Source organism: Homo sapiens, chromosome 6 (genome assembly GCF_000001405.40).
Source record: "Homo sapiens chromosome 6, GRCh38.p14 Primary Assembly".
NCBI lineage: Eukaryota > Metazoa > Chordata > Mammalia > Primates > Hominidae > Homo > Homo sapiens.
In genome coordinates this window covers 109,339,338-109,355,244 of record NC_000006.12, presented here as the reverse complement: position 1 = coordinate 109,355,244, position 15,907 = coordinate 109,339,338, and the positions used below count along the sequence as shown (strand labels likewise).

The 15,907-nt window shown below is 45.4% G+C and overlaps 1 pseudogene across 1 annotated transcript in view; it reads right to left on the bottom strand.

Moving 5' to 3' along the window:
• Positions 1-296: 296 nt before the first annotated feature.
• CCDC162P (coiled-coil domain containing 162, pseudogene) overlaps positions 297-15,907 on the bottom strand; it is a 189,118-nt pseudogene continuing 173,507 nt past the window's right edge. Inside the window, exons 40-46 of the transcript NR_152435.1 lie at positions 14,191-14,343; positions 13,812-13,943; positions 12,694-12,846; positions 11,049-11,258; positions 6,698-6,818; positions 2,331-2,458; positions 297-397 (exon numbers count right to left, since the gene is read on the bottom strand). The product of NR_152435.1 is annotated as a coiled-coil domain containing 162, pseudogene (transcript). The remainder of the gene's footprint in view (positions 398-2,330; positions 2,459-6,697; positions 6,819-11,048; positions 11,259-12,693; positions 12,847-13,811; positions 13,944-14,190; positions 14,344-15,907) is intronic.

Genomic DNA, 15,907 nt, shown 5'->3' with positions numbered 1-15,907 from the left:
AGAATTCGTATTCAGAGGCTGCTGGCTGACCAGAGGCAAAGGCTAGCTTGTAGAAATGCAAATCAATGCTTAGGTTTTAAAGTCTGGGACCAACCCCTACTTCACCTGGGGTTGGTTCAAGATGTAATCATCTTAGTCCTTCAACCCTGTCTTCCAAGTACAGATAAGAGAATTTCATACATAAAATTAAGTAAGAGATTTAATGGCATTTGGAGTCATTTTTATTCATTCAAATACTCATAGAAATAAAGGTTGGAAAAAGAAGATATCATCACCAGTCAGCTCTAAATGGGAATCTGGATGGAGCTGTTTGAACCTGAAAAGCTGTCAGTTGAACATTTTCTGCCATATTGGGTAGGAAAACATCGTCAGTTCTTTTTTTGTGTTTAATAGGTACCTGTAATATAAGTAGATATTGGTGTTAAGAACATGGTGAATAATTCTTGTTATAGCATCATAAAAAGTCACTGTTATTAATGAGACCAAGATCATTGATTCAGTCTGGGTTAGGCCATATAGTATGCCTTCTTGTCTGTATTTTGCCATTGTCCTAAAGGGAATTGGTCAAGAATGAATCCATCAGTGGAAAGCCATTTCCAGTTAAGGAAGAAAACACAGCTCATACTTCAAGTAATCTAAAAATTCCTTAATTTTTTATCATTTGTGTTAGTGCAGGGCTAATTTTTAGAAAATTAACTGTGTTCTTACATTTCAGCCATGTATAAATTCCTCTTCAATGAGTATTTATCTGACTTGTCTCATAGGCCTTGCTTAAGAAGTCAGACCTGAGATCTGAAGTTCCAGCTAACTGTGTACCTTCCCTGGCCTTGAGGTTTTTTGCTTGGGGTTCCCGTATTGTACATAGCCACTGGGCCAATGGGCCCACAAGACACTTCACTGTAGGGTTTATTTATTTGGTAGGGCAATGTTCATCAATTAGCTTTAGCCTATCACCCTTTTGAATCTCTCAAATATAATAAATCTTCACTAATGCACTTATCTGCTTAGCAGCCTTTTCAACAAGTCACGATCACCAACACCCCCATGGTATTGCAGCTTTCAGGGTGAAATGGAGATGAAGTGATTCTTGAAAGCCCTTGTGATCCCACACATACAAAGTGAACTTTGCTTCTTTTTGAAAAGGGCTTTTGCGGAAACATAGACATATAATACAATTTCACATTTTCAAGAAAGATGACTGCACAGAGATTGGTGAGTCAAGCAAATGGTGGACATTAGTAATGTGGCCCTCACTTGGTCAAGATGGTGTTTGGGTATCTTCCCAACCTGTCTTTCCCCCTTCTTAACTGCATGTTTAGAAATCTTGAAACTTTTGATCCTTATAACTAGACCATCAGCTGCGGAATTACACCATCGAATGACTTGGAATGGCATACTTTTCTCTGAAGGAATGATTAAATATTTTCCTCTTAATTTTTCATCAGGTAATGGGAAATAATTTTTTTTTTTTTTTTTGAGATGAAGTCTCACTCTTGTTGCCCAGGCTGGAGTGCAATGGCGCAATCTCAGCTCACTGCAACCTCTGCCTCCCAGGTTCAAGCGATTCTCCTTCCTCAGCCTCCCGAGTAGCTGGGATTACAGGCGCCCGCCACTATGCCCAGCTAATTTTTGTATTTTTCATAGAGACAGTGTTTCACCATGTTGGCCAGGCTGGTCTCAAACTTCTGGCCTCAGGTGATCTGCCTGCCTCGGCCTCCCAAAGTGCTGGGATTACAGGTGTGAGCCACCGTGCCCAGCCAGGAATTCCTAAATGTGTTGATTAGATATGTGAATCTCTAGAAGGGATTCTGAAAGAAAATGCAGCAAAGAGTAAAATACTTATTAAAGCAGTAGAGAGGAGGCAGTGGAAGAGGAAGTATATGTTGTTTTACATAAACTAAAAACTGAAACATTTTACGAGTTCTTCAAATACATGCTAATCTGCATCCCAGGAATTTTCTTGGAGGGTAGATTTCTCACGTGTTTTAAAATGACTTCCGAAACTTATTTCTGCTCTGTTGGGGAACTCAGATAAGGAGTCTGATGCTGCTAGTTAATTGTTGAAGATGATTGGGGGAAAAAAGAAATTCAGAGATGGAACACAGCAAGGTGTTGGTACTGATTCCACACCCATTTATTGACTTGTAATTTAGAAGGTGCTGTTATAGGATTATTTCAACATCAGAATTTTCTTATCCAGATTCAAGGCATCTACATAAGCTCCTGATATATAATTTTTCTAATGTAAGTCTGAAGTGACCCAAAAACCATGAAATCAAATTGTAAGGCTTTATTGTTTAATGCATGTAATCAATCTTATTATTACTTACAGTCTGTGGCCTTTGAATCCATCTTGTTATTTTACTGCCTTTGAGATTAGTCTTTAAAAAGCGTTGCTGGGAGTATCTGGATGATGTGGAAGCAGAAGTTGGGGAGTATTGAGCCTGGGATATAAGGTCTATAAAGTTAAAAATGTTAAATTATATCTCTGGTTGCAATGGATAAACCTAGATTATTTTGATTTTTTATTTTTTTGAGAGTGGGGGCCTCACTCTGTTGCCCAGGCTGGAGTGCAGTGGCACGATCGTAGCTCACTATAACCTCAAATTCCTGTATCTAGATTTAATTCATAAAATTTAGGGCTTAAAATTGGCATCTAACTCAGCTTATTTTTCAGCTTCATCAATTTTGAGCAAATGTGTCAAAACTTGGAGAGAGTTTTTTGCCCAATAGTCGCATGACCAAGTAAAAGTGAAGGAGGTGACAAGAGACTTGGACTGTGGTAGGTAGAAGCGGATAGACTGAGAGCTACTTAAATTAGTAGGAGTTGAGAATTAACCAGATTTGCAGGGTGACAAAGAATAGCTCCCAAATTTCTGGCTTAAGCAACTGGATATTTGGCACTACCATTTGCTGAAAGAGCATCTCCCCCACCCCAAAAGTAGGAAGGGAGAAGGATAGGAAGACGGGTTCCATTCCTGTTGAACTTGTGAGCCTGAGACACGTGAACGTAGACATTATTCACTGGACATATGGGTCACTGGATATAGGGGTCTACAGCTCAGAGGAGAGTTTTGAGCTGCAGATGTAGACTTAGCAAACAATGATTAAAGCTGTGGGAAATATGCAATTATTTGGAGACAATGTGAGGTGAGAGAAGAAGGGGCCAGAAAGATCCCTGAACAACTTCAGTGTTTAGAGGTTGGATACAGTAGGAGGAACTAGAAAAGGAGGAGATAGAAAAAGCAGCCAGAGGAAGAGGAAAACCACAAGGAGCAGTGCCAGGAGAATAATTAGGAGAAGGGTGTGGTCAGCTGTTTCAAATGCTGCTGAGACATGAAATCAGTGAGAACTCAGTGTCCTTTGGACTTGGAGACAGAAGTGAAGGTGATCTTGGCAAGAGCAACTGCAATGAAATGGTGGTAAGAAAAATCAGATTGCTGGTGGTGGTGCAGAGACCTATTCTTGGCCCCCAATTGCAAATCTCTCCTCTCTTCTTAGAAATAGACCTCACATTTTTTGTTCACGGCATCCTAGAATAAAAACTACATTTCACAGTCTCCTTTGTGTGGTCTTGGGGCTAAGTGCTGGCCAATGGAATGTACGCAGAAGTGTCACAAGTGACTTCCAGGAAGCATTCTTCAAGCTTCAAGGGAGGGGTGGGCCCTTTTTGTTGCCTTCCTCCTTCCTATTGGCCAGAAAGCGTAAGCATCATATTGGACCATGAGGTAGTGAGGAACATTTGGAAGCCACAAGTTGAGAATGGCAAAACCTGAGAGAAATTAAGTGAGGTGAATCACGAAAGTGAGTATAGGCAGCTCTTTTAAGAAGTCTGACTGGGAAGAGAAAGACCAGCAGCAGGGGAAGGAATATGTTGTCAAGGCAGTGGGGGCGGGGGGAGCTATTTTACAGTGGATTTTATGATCCTGGCACATACATGATCAATAAGTAATTGTTGGTTGCAAGATTAGAGGGATGCATGGATGGGAAATCCAAGTATGTAGAAAAGAAGCAGCTAGTTCAAGGCCCCTGAGAAGGTAGCAGCAGATGGGCCCTTTACATAGGGATTGCCCTGGGGAAGAAAAGGGACATCCTTTCCATGTTCACAGGAGGGAAGGAGAAGCAGCAGAGTACAGATGTAGGTAGGCTGGGAGACAGGGAGAAGATGGCATTCCTGTCTGAGGGTTTCTAATTTCTCTGTGAAGTGGGAGATGAAAGGATGAGGTGTTGGGGGGAGCGTATGAAGATCTGAGGAGACAAGGCAGATTTAAAACAGTTGCTGCAGAGAGGAGGAGACAGCGAGCTGACCCAACCCTCAGCTCCAGTGGAGAAGCAGGTAAGCTGGGCCTAAGCCAACCAGACATCTTAGTCTGTGGCTCCACTAATTTGTTCAAAATTGGCAACATGACCCAAGTCAGTCCAGGCAGAGCCCAATTCTTTTTGACTGTCCCATCTCCATACCCTGCTCCTGCCATGCTGAGCATGAACAGAGACGGAAGCTACGGAGGTGGCTGCCATCTTGCTTCCAAAGAGCCTTGCTTCCTTTCTGCTCCCAGCCTCCTCAGAGCCAGAGATGGAGAGAGTGAAAGCAGTCCTCATGAACTAGGTCAAACCTTGATGAAGCTACCTTTAGCCAGGCCTCCTCTCAACATTTTACAGTTTTATGAGCCAAGTGATTTCATTTTTTCTTAAGCATGTCTAAAATAATTGATTTAGAAAAAAATCTTCATTTCTCAGGAGTTGCAAAATCCTAGGGGAATCACGTTAATGGCAAGGAAAGAGAGCTCGCCCTTTGAGTGCACCTATGCTTCCAACATGGGAGGCAGGAATGCTGCCATGGCTGCTGCTGCAGAAGACCCCTGGGTCACTTTGAGACTCCAGTTGGGCAACAGCGGAGGAAGGAGGAGTGGGAATATGGCTGACTTTTACTGCTTAGCATTAACAGTATGGTGATAGCTGACTGTGCCCTCAAACCCCTCCTCTCCCTGCACAGGGAAACAGAAGAGGGCTGAGGCCCGGGAGTAACGTCTACCTCTACTTCCTGGGAAAGAAGTTTGCTTCCCACTCCTGCTCCCACCCCAATCCTGGGAATTAGGGTCTCCCCCACCTGCCTCGTGCCTCATTCTGGTTCTCCTTCACAATAGGCAGGTGTTGGAGGATGTGGATGGCAGTTCACTAGGACGCATTATCCCAGGAAGGGATTAGAAAGATGCTTGGCTAAGCTGCAGGCAGAGGTGAAAGGGAGAGAAGGAAAAAATCCCCTGGCACATGGAGAAGACAGTGTAAGGTACCGAACTGCATAGGGTCAGGTGCCAAAGTAGGGCCCTTGTGTGCTCTTGATGCCCTTTATGTTGGGGCTGGGGCAGCAGCAATAACCAGTAGCTGGGGCAGGGGACACCAGCTCCCAATGTCAGGTCCAGGCAGCAACCCAGAAGCAGGAAGGAGGGCCCTGTGAGCTTTACTGCCAAGTCCAGCTCTGCTCTTAGTAAACCCAAAGTAATTTCATCTGTGACTCTGTGCTCCTGAAAGGCTGTTTGCTCAGCTCATTCACGCTGGAAGGTAGCCAAAAGGAAACACAGATAAAGGGCTAAACACATGTATGCAAGTATAGTAACCAACACTTGCACAATTACTAAGTGCCACTATACTAAGGTGTCAAGACAGGAATTATTTCATTTAATCTCAGAGCAAGCCTTTGAGGTGAGTATTCCCATTTTACGGAGAGGCTAATTAAGGTCTGTCTAAGGTCATGTGGCTAGCAGTGACAGAGCCAGAGCCTGAATTCTGGCTGTTTCACTCCAAAGCCCATATACTCAACTATCAGGCTATGTACAGAACAGGAAAGAAGAGACATGGCCAATCATAACAACAGGCCAATCATGGTTAGTGATATTTGGTGATATTTCTAATAGATCTAGAAGAGAACTTAGAATGTATTTAGTCCTCATCTTATAGAGGAGGAAGCTGGTTTAGAGACATCCTGGGGTCTGGTCTCAGCTCCATGCTGCCTGCACTGCTCAGAGAGCTATTTTGATTATTTTCAAGGACACCCCAAACCCCCAAGCATTAAGATGTCTCAAAATCCAATGAACTGGTTCTGGGACCAGTTTTTTTTTTTTTTTTTTTGTGTGTGTGTGTGTGTGTGTGTGTGTGTGTGTGTGTGTGTGACAGAGTCTCGCTCTGTCATCAGGCTGGAGTGCAATGGCACCATCTCAGCTCACTGCAACCTCCAACTCCCAGGTTCAAGCAATTCTCCTGCCTCAGCCTCCTGAGTAGCTGGAATTACAGGTGTGTGTCACCACACCCAGCTAATTTTTGTATCTTTAGTAGAGACGGGGTTTCACCATATTGGCCAGGATAGTCCCAATCTCCTGACCTCGTGATCCGCCCACCTCGGCCTCCCAAAGTGCTGGGATTACAGGCGTGAGCCACCGTGTCCAGCCAAGACCAGTTTTTTATGACTGAAACCTTTTAGTGTTGGATGTCAGTACTCCAAGGTACTAAAGTAGGAAGTTTTGACTGTAAATCAGAATTAAGGTTTATCCGTTTATGTGTCATTCAACAAACATTGTGGAGGACCCACTCAATAACCACTGGATAGTTACTGATTCGGTCCCCCCTGAGTCTCTGAGACCCTCCTCAGTTCAGACCCCAGAGACTGGGAGGGTTTTCTAGCCAGAGCAGGGGTTATCCTTACCGCCTGACGAGCCCATGGGGACAGCTGACCGCTGGGCATCGTGAAGCTGACCCTGCAGCTCCTCTGCACGCTGGAGAGCATCCAGCTTCACACTGCGCTCCTGGGCAAGCCGGCTTCTCATCTGAGGGGAAAATGAGAAGCAGAGATTCTTTGTGCTCACTTTCATTTCCTCAGTTCACAGGGGGTTCCTAGGGAGAATGGGTGTCCCAGGCTACCCTGCAAAGAGAACTGGCTCTTAAAGTCCTGATTAGGCTGAACTCAGCCTTCTGAGAATCAAGAACTTCAGGAAGACCAAGAACTTAACCAAAAAGGAACAGTCCGTGGAATCCCTTATACCTTATAATAGCTAGGAACTTATTCACAAGGTTATATCTTTCATGTTTATTTCATCAGATAAGTAGAGGAAGAGGGGAGGGAGGGCCCAGTGCACACAGGGCCTTGGAGGCCTAGCCACTGCATCTACAGTGAGGACCTGTCAGAGCCCCTGGACAGTTTCAAACAGAGGAAAGACTTATCTATCTCCTAAATCTCTGCTCTCAGCTCAGCATCTGCCGGGAATGCCCTGTTCTGACAAGCCCATCTCCAGAAGCAACCTTTGTATTGACTTATATGGCTCTCCCCGTGCACGGCTAGCCCACACTCCCCAGCCAGGCAGTGCCCAGGTCCAAAGTGTATCTCATCTGCACAGATGACAGGTGGTTTTGCTTTTTCAATTTATAATCTCCTAATTGTTTTTACTTGTAGAAAAGTAATATATACTATAGTGGTTTGAAGAGTACCCCCCAAATTTCATGTCTACCTGGAACCTCAGAATGTGACCTTATTTGGAAATAGGGTCTTCGTAGATGGACTTGTTAGGATGAGGTCATACTGGATTTAGGTGAGCCCTGAATCTAATGACTGTTGTCCTTACAAAGAAGATAGGATAAGGATACAGAAACTCAGAGGAGCACATAGGAAGAAGGCTCCATGATGACAGAGGCAGGATTGGAGTGAGGTAACTACAAGCCGAGGAATGCCAGAGACCAAAATGTGACTAAGAAGAGACATGGAACAGATTCTTCCTCAGAGCCTCCAAAAGGAACCAGCCTTGCCAGCACATTAGTTTCAGGCTTCTGGCCTCCCGAGCTGTGAAGGAATACGTTTTTATTCTATTAAGCCACCCAGTTTGTGATAATTTATTAAGGTAACTCTAGGAAATGAATACACGTGCTAATCTCAAGCATTCAGCCATGTGTATTGTACATCCCACTCCGCCTATACAGACCCAGCCAGAAGGCCCCTGCATAGTATTGCCCTAAATGTTAAAGTGGGCTCTTCCTTATGTCGGGGGGCCCCCAAGCATAGTTTAAATTTCAGAAGATTACCAGAGCTCCAGAGTTAGGAAAACTTCCTAATATAAAGTAGGTCCAAAGCCCCTCTCCATACTGTAGGGATTTGTGTAGGATCCTCATTCCCTACGGGCTGGTGCCAAGGAAACATATCAAGATTTCCTGAGCCAGGCTGGCACTAGGAAACCTAAGAAACACCAGCAAGGAAGCGTGCTTCCTCAGGACCTCCTTGTGTTAGGTCACTCACCCCAATGTCACAGAGGCTGGTGAAGTGACTTGCCCAAGGCCACACAGCCAGGATTTGAGTCCAGGTCTACCTACCTGTTTCCAAGGCTGTCTACCTTCACATTCCCAACAAAAATATAAACAGCCAACATTTACTGAGAGCTATGTATCACACCGTGATTTTGCTGTTGTTTGTTTTGAGACAAAGTCTCTGTCATGCAGGCTGGAGTGCATTGGCACAATCTTGGCTCACTGCAACCAGGTTCAAGTGGTCCTCCCACCTCAGCCCTCTGAGTAGCTGGGACCACAGATGCACACCACCATCCCTGGCTAATTTTTGTATTTTTTGTAGAAACAGGGTTTCACCATGTTGCCCAAGCAATCCTCCCACCTTGGCCTCCCAAAGTGCTGGCATTATAGGAGTGAGCCACCGTGCCTGGCCTGTTTATTTTTGTTAATTTTTTACTTTTTATTTTTTAATTTTATTTTTTAGAGACAGGGTCTTACTCTTTCACCCAGGCTGGAGTATAGTGGCATAATCTTAGTTTACTGCAGGCTTGAACTCCTGGGCTCAAGCGATCCTCCTGCCTCAGCCTCCCAAGTAGCTGGGACTACAGGCATGCCTGTTTTAGGCCTGGTTTTAAGGGCTTTATTTAAATTACCTAATTCCCTAATTTAATCATCCCCCAAATTCAGTGAAGTGAGTACATTGTTTCCATTGTAATGATGAAGAAATCAAAGCATAGAGAAGCCACAGACCTTGCCCAAAGCCACACCGCTGGAGGGCCAGCGGTATGAACCACTCAGTTCCACTCCAGGGCCTGTGCTCTAAATCACTGGTCCCCAACCTTTTTGGCACCAGGTACCGGTTTCATGGAAGACAGTTTTTCCACCGGGTGGGGACAAATGGTTTCAGGATGAAGCTGTTCTACCTCAGATCATCAGGCACTAGCTAGATTCTCATAAGGAGCAGGCAACCTAGATCCCTCACATGTGCAGTTCACAATAGGGTTTGTGCTCCTATGAGAATCAAAGGCCTCCGTTGGTCTGACAAGAGGCGGAGCTCAGGCAGTTATGCTGCCAACTGCTCATCTTCTGCTGTGCAGCCCAGTTTCACAGGCTATGGACCCCTGCCGGTCCACAGCCTGGGGGTTGGAAACCCCTACTATAAGTGACCTCAACCAGGCGCAGGCAGCAGGTTAGGACACTGAGGCTCTCCGAGGTCAGACAGTGAATTATCTGCCCATGGAGTCAGAGGCCGGAGATAGATTAAAGAAGCCACTTCTGGCTGGAAGGGGCCGGGGGGTGAGGGTGGGGGGCTCGGGTCTTGCTGGCTGAGGATTGCTGTTTAGAGTAGGTAGGCGCAGGGACACTTGAGCTGTCAGGAGAGCTGGAGGTGTACTCTACAAAGGGCCAATGGCTTATACGTACATATGGTAAAGTGCACATTTGTTGAGAGAAACCTCAAAATATTTGTTTTGACCACCTCTAGAATATCTGCCATGAAACAAATAATTAACTAGAGAAAACCTTGAAGAAATGAATCTACGAACTTCCCTGTTTTTGTGGTGGCTTTTAGAAAAGCATGATTTGTAACACAAAATTGGGATGCCAAAGTTTTCTTATAGGTTGAGTCATATTTTTGTTTACTTTTCAGGCAATAAATATGAAATTCTAATTTTTATTCTAAAGCTACTCATTTTCTCCCCCCATTTCTATATATTTTCTTTAACTCAATTCAAATTTTAATCTTTTTTTGTCATTTTTGTAGATAGAATTCTCCTTATTGATCTCTTCCTTGAGCACTTAATTGACCAGGGGCCGGGTGCGGTGGCTCACGCCTGTAATCCCAGCACTTTGGGAGGCCAAGGCAGGCGGATCACCTGAGATCAGGAGTTCGAGACCAGCCTGGCCAACGTGGTAAAACCCCGTCTCTACTAAAAATACAAAAATTAGCTGGGCATAGTGGCTCATGCCTGTAGCCCCAGCTACAAAGGAGGCTGAGGTGGGAGAATCACTTGAATCTGGGAGGTGGAGGTTGCAGTGAGCCAAGATTACGCCACTGCACTCCAGTCTGGGTGACAGAGTGAGACTCTGTCTCAAAAAAAGAAAAAAAAAAAAGAAACACTTGACCAATAATTTGTCTTTCAATTTCCATCTCCTTCTATCTCTGATGAATGAGTTCAGTGATTTGCTCATTCAATGGATATGTGTGAGGTGCCTGCTTTGGAAATTACTTTTTCCTTTTTTATTGAATTACATTGTTTTCTGCTTTGTTGAAACTTGTATTAATCCACATCTACATTCTAGTATTATTCTCTTCTATTTCTTTGTTGTTAGGTGTAGTTAACAAAATACATTGGATCTGCAAACCACTTTTGCCTTTCATTTTTGTCTCTGCAGTTCCTGAAACACTTGAATAAAATCTTCTTGTCATAGCCTCCATTAACACTTGCTGCTTTTCCAGGTTACTGCTTGGAATTTTCTAAAAGATTCCTAGTTCAAAGATGAGAGCTGGGTAGAAACAGGTTTTTCCAGTAGGTTACAGGGGTGCTGAGATTCTGAGCCCTGAGGCAGCCAAGCCACCATGGCCTGCCCAGCAATCCCTGTGGTGTGGGGAGACACTGTGGGGAGAGTTGCTACCATTCTCCTGGGCTGCCTATAAGTGACAGAGGTTGAGAAATACTGTTGTGGGGGACAGGAGAGAGGCATGGGCACGCAGGGGAAGGATGCAGCAGCCCTCGCTGGGGCACCAGGTGCACTCTGGTTGGACACTCCCTCTTACTGAGGTTTACCTGGTGGAGGTCCCTCTTCATTTTTTTCTGCTGCAGTTGGCCCAGCTTAGAAGCCCTCTCAGCCTCTTTGCTAAGGAGCTGCAGTTGCTGTTCTTTTTGCCCCACATCTTCCAAGAGCTTCTCCATCCTGGATGTTTTCATAAAATGCAGCTGCTGCTGGGTGAGAGCTTCCTGGGTCACTCTATGTTCTAACTCCTTCAGCAGTTGAGCCTGTGGCAGGAAAACGCCAAAAGAAAGGAGAAGGCAGGGAGCCTTTCTTCCCAGCAGAAGGGGGGAAGAGGTTGGAAAGCATAATAACCATCCCCTCCTTTGGGGCTCAGGGACACAACTACATGGTGTATTCCTGGGCTCTAGAAAATGCGGCCCAATGATTCTGTCCTGTGCTAGCCAGAGCACCAGGATCTAGCCTAGCCTGGCGTTTACACTGTGAGCCCTGCAGTGACAGTCAGAGGGAAGCAGAACAGACACCAAAAGCCAGGCATGCGATCACGCCACTGTACAGCAGTGCCAGGGCAAATAATTTGGTCTTTTAATACCCAGATTTGATAATATGTATGTTAGCTTACTAACCAGATAATCATATCTAGCACAAACAACATTTACATTGTCGTGGAGCCTTTGTCAGGAGGTAGCCGTGGAAGCGTTTAACACCAAGGAGATGGGGCCATGCCATACACACAATGGGCGAAGAAAGGAGGTTCTGATTTAGGCTCTGTTTTCCCTTCCAAAAATCTGGGGAAGTCAGACTCTAGATAGTTAAAGAAGGATAAGGGTAGAAATAATTTCGTTCTGTTCCAAAGTTTTTCTAATAAGTATTATCCTAAGTACTAGATGGTCAATACTTAATTATTATTCATATCTGTATGATGACTTTACAGTTTATAATGTACTTTACATAGTTAACTCATCTGATGCAGAATCATGGAGGAATTAGGGTCCAAGATGAACAAATTAAATTTCATGCTTTAAATACGCCTAGCTTTCCCAGGCTGTTACTTTAACTCAGCTGTTCTCACTCTAAACCTAGAGTCCCCCTGCTTCATTCATGCCCAGAGGGTTGGCACAGTAAGGAAATGCTTAGGCTTAGAATGCCTTTATTTTGGTGCCGGCCCCTATCGCGCAGCAGTAACTTCTGAAAGTGAGACACAGTATGGATCACTGGGAAAGGATACAGTCTCGCATGGGGGATAATACTACAAGGCTGGACCACACTCTACTTGCCAAGGATTGTTGTCAACTGGAAGCGTGCTTGCCCCATGAAAGCCTGTGTTCAAGGCAGAGGCCTAGATCCCAGGATCCCAGGACAGCCTCTAGCAAAAAGATCCTCAGAGAAATGGACACACACACACACACACACACACACGTATGTGATAATGATCTTGCTTAGGAGTAATATTTTCTCAGCCACATGAGTAAGAACAATAGCCTTTTGGCCACCGCCCTTGGTTTCTGGGCTGGAGAGGAGGGAGGAGAAGGGAAGCCCAAGTCCAGGCTATCTTTTCCTGGCTGTGCCATCTGTGTGGCTTCAGGCTGTGGTGCTCTGGTGACTGCTCCTGACAGCCACAGCACCAAGTGTGGTGGCCACGTTCAGCTTTGCAGAGTTAACTGCAAAGGGAATGAGGAAGAGGCTCTGAGGTTCAGATACCTGGCTGTCCTGCTGCTTCCACATCCTCGCGCTGTCAGCCTGTGCCCTGGCCAGGGCCTGCCTGAGAGCCAGGACCTGCTGACGAAATAAACCCACTTCTCGCTCTGCCATCAGCTTGATGCGCAAATACTCTTTTTTACTTTGAATAGATTCCTGTAAATATCCCAAACACAGTAAGATAGGAAATAGGTTTCCTTTCCAGATGTTTAGTTTCAAAAGCAGTATCTAAACCACTTTCCCATCCATTCTTCTTTCAAACTTCCGGTAGAAGGGAGCTCCTGCTAGTCACTGCTTCCATGATTTTATTTTATTTTATTATTTATTTATTTAGAGATGGAGTCTTTCTCTGTCAACCCAGCCTGGAGTACAGTGGTACAATCTTGGCTCACTGCAACCTCTACCTCCCAGGTTCAAGCAATTCTCCTGCCTCAGCCTCCTGAGTAGCTGAGACTACAGGTGCCCACCACCACACCCGGCTAATTTTTTTGTATTTTTAGTAGAGATTGGGCTTCATCATGTTGGCCAGGCTGCTCTCAAACTCCTGACCTCAGGTGATCTGCCCACCTTGGTCTCTCAAAGTGCTGGGATTACAGGCATGAGCCACCATGTCCAGCCTGCTTCCATGATTTTAATTCAGAAGAGGGTAACATATGAGAGTAAATACTTTCAGAAACAGGATGTGAAAGTTTCCAAATAGCTATCAATATGAGCTTTGGACTCAATTTACCTTAAAGCAGATTTCTCACTTATTATTTTGTGACTTCATTTTCCTCAGATACTCATGTATGAAACCCAAAGATATGCGGTATTTTGACAAAGCAGCCTCAAGGCCTTGGTGAAGCCTTTCCTCCATCTTTTCACTTCCTTCCCTTATGCTGAATTCTCTGATCTGTTTTTTGTTGCCCCCTTTGCTTCTGCCCCCTTTCTGTTTCTCCTGAAGTTCTCACATGGCCTGTTCCCAGGAAAAATCGCCAACCGTCGGGTCCTTCAGGATGGTTGGCCCTACCACCTGACACCAGTGCCACTCACAGCTACAGTGACACCATGGCAGCTGCAGCCATGGAGGCTTGGGATCAGCCATCCTGGGGACTGTCTGGGTCTCCCCCACCAGAGCTCACCTTCTCTGTCCTGCTCAGCTGGGCCTGGAAGCACGCCTGCTGCACAGCCAGCCTCCAGCGGCCCAGGCTCCTCACTTTGCACACCAGGTTGGCCAGGCTGCAGTTGTCCTGCTCCAAGGCCCACAGCTGTTCCTGCTAAGAAGGCTCATTTTCAGGAAAGGCTGCCCCCAACATTTTCATAGGAAGGGCACAAACCCTAACATCAGAAACATGCCTTCCAGAAGATGACACAATTGTGCAGTGCGTCCCTGTGCCCCCTTTAAAATGCCTGATGCAATGCTTTCTCAGGGAAATCAGGCTGGAATGCTAACAGGGTGAATGGTAGAGTCAGATGCTAGGATGAAACGCTGATATCCCATTGCTAAATGAAATCACATACTTTGGCTGGGTTTTCTTTCATTCCTTCATCGGGGCTGGCAGAGCACCATTTTTTCTTTAGGTCCTTCATATTGTCAATCCCTTCTGTTCTCACTTCACCGATGAGCTCACACACTTTCTGGATCAAATTAAGCTGATTATCATCCAGCTTCTCCTGCAAATTGCAGAATCAAGTCAAGGAAGTAAAATGGATTTGGGTAGTGTGAAGGGTAGTTGAAGAAAAGCCATTTTGCCTTCTACAACTTAACTTTTGTAAGTAATTTCACATTAAGATATCACCTCCTCAGACAATTATTCTGACATGTACTATAAGGAAGTCACACTTAGCAGCCCCCTGAGTGCTGTCTTTTATTCACAGGGCTTCATCTTCTGGACACCAGCACATCTTAGATTGTGCCTTCCTTGTCAACACCAAGGCAAGCTGAGCCAGGAGGATAGTGGAAGGTCACACAGGTAGAAAACCTGCTGACCAAACTGCCCCTGGTAAGAGTTACTTGGGAAGCTGAACCAAAGATTTTTGCTGCTATGTTGACTCACAGTAGAATGTGAGCAGACAAGACACTGTAGATGAGCCACTCCTGAGGAGCTCTGTTAAATATAGATAAAGTGGAGGAGGGAGTCAGGCTGGCTGCCTTCCTATTTAGGATCTAGCAGAAACCCCATTAGGAAATATTCCGTTCTGAATGGCTTCTGGCTAAATGGCTTGTGAGGAAACAGCCTGATCAATGGTAAGTACGACTGAAGACCCAGTGCTATGGACTGAATTGTGTCTTCCTCAGATTCATATGTTGAAACCCTAACCAGCAATGTGACAGTATCTAGAGATAGGATCTTTAGGAGGTAATTAAGATTAAAATGAGGATATAAGGGTGAGGCTCTATTGCAATAGACTGTGGCCTTATAGGAAGAGGGAGAGAGAGAGACCTTTCTTTTTCTCCCTCTCTCCCATGTGAGGACAGTGAGAAGGCAGCCACCTGCAAGCCAGGAAGCATGCCCTCAGCCAGAAGCAGACCACACTGGCACCCTGATCTCAGACTTCTGGCTTCCAGAACTGTGAGAAATATACTTTCTGTTGTTTAAGCTGTGCAGCCTATCATATTTTGTTATGGCAGCCTGAGCAGACTAAGACACCCAGTGTCTCTGGGGTGAGAGGTAGGGTAGGGGTGTCCTCTCACTTCTAAACCACTTCCCTGGAGAGGAAGGCAGGAGGAGGGTGCCCAGCTGGGAGCCACGGAGGGAAGCCTGGCTCTGGCCACACAACACAAGCTTTAGCAACTTCGTGGGACCCTGGAATATAACAGGGATTCCCTACTGTAGGAGGCTTGGTGGAACTACTTCAGCCTGGGAAACAGAGAGAATCTACTTTTTAACTGGGAATCTGGCAGAAGCTAAAAGGAACTTAAGACATTTCTCAACAATCTCACACCTGAAAGATGGCTTAGCAAATTCCAGCTGTCACTGTCTGCCCATCCTTCTCCTGCAGCACCAGACCTAATACATTTTGGGTTCGATCCCTTAATATGTGTAAGCATTTACACTGCAAGTAAGAGGAAATTCTCGCTGGAATGACCAGGCCAAGGTGAGTACTGGTGGAAGCTCCTGTTAACCTAACAACCCTCAGGGCCATTCTGCAATCCCTGGGGAGAGACTCAAGGACCCAAACGGGGCTGGCTTTGGGGTGTATCCAATAGCAGGGAAGGGGACAGGGTTGGGGGAAG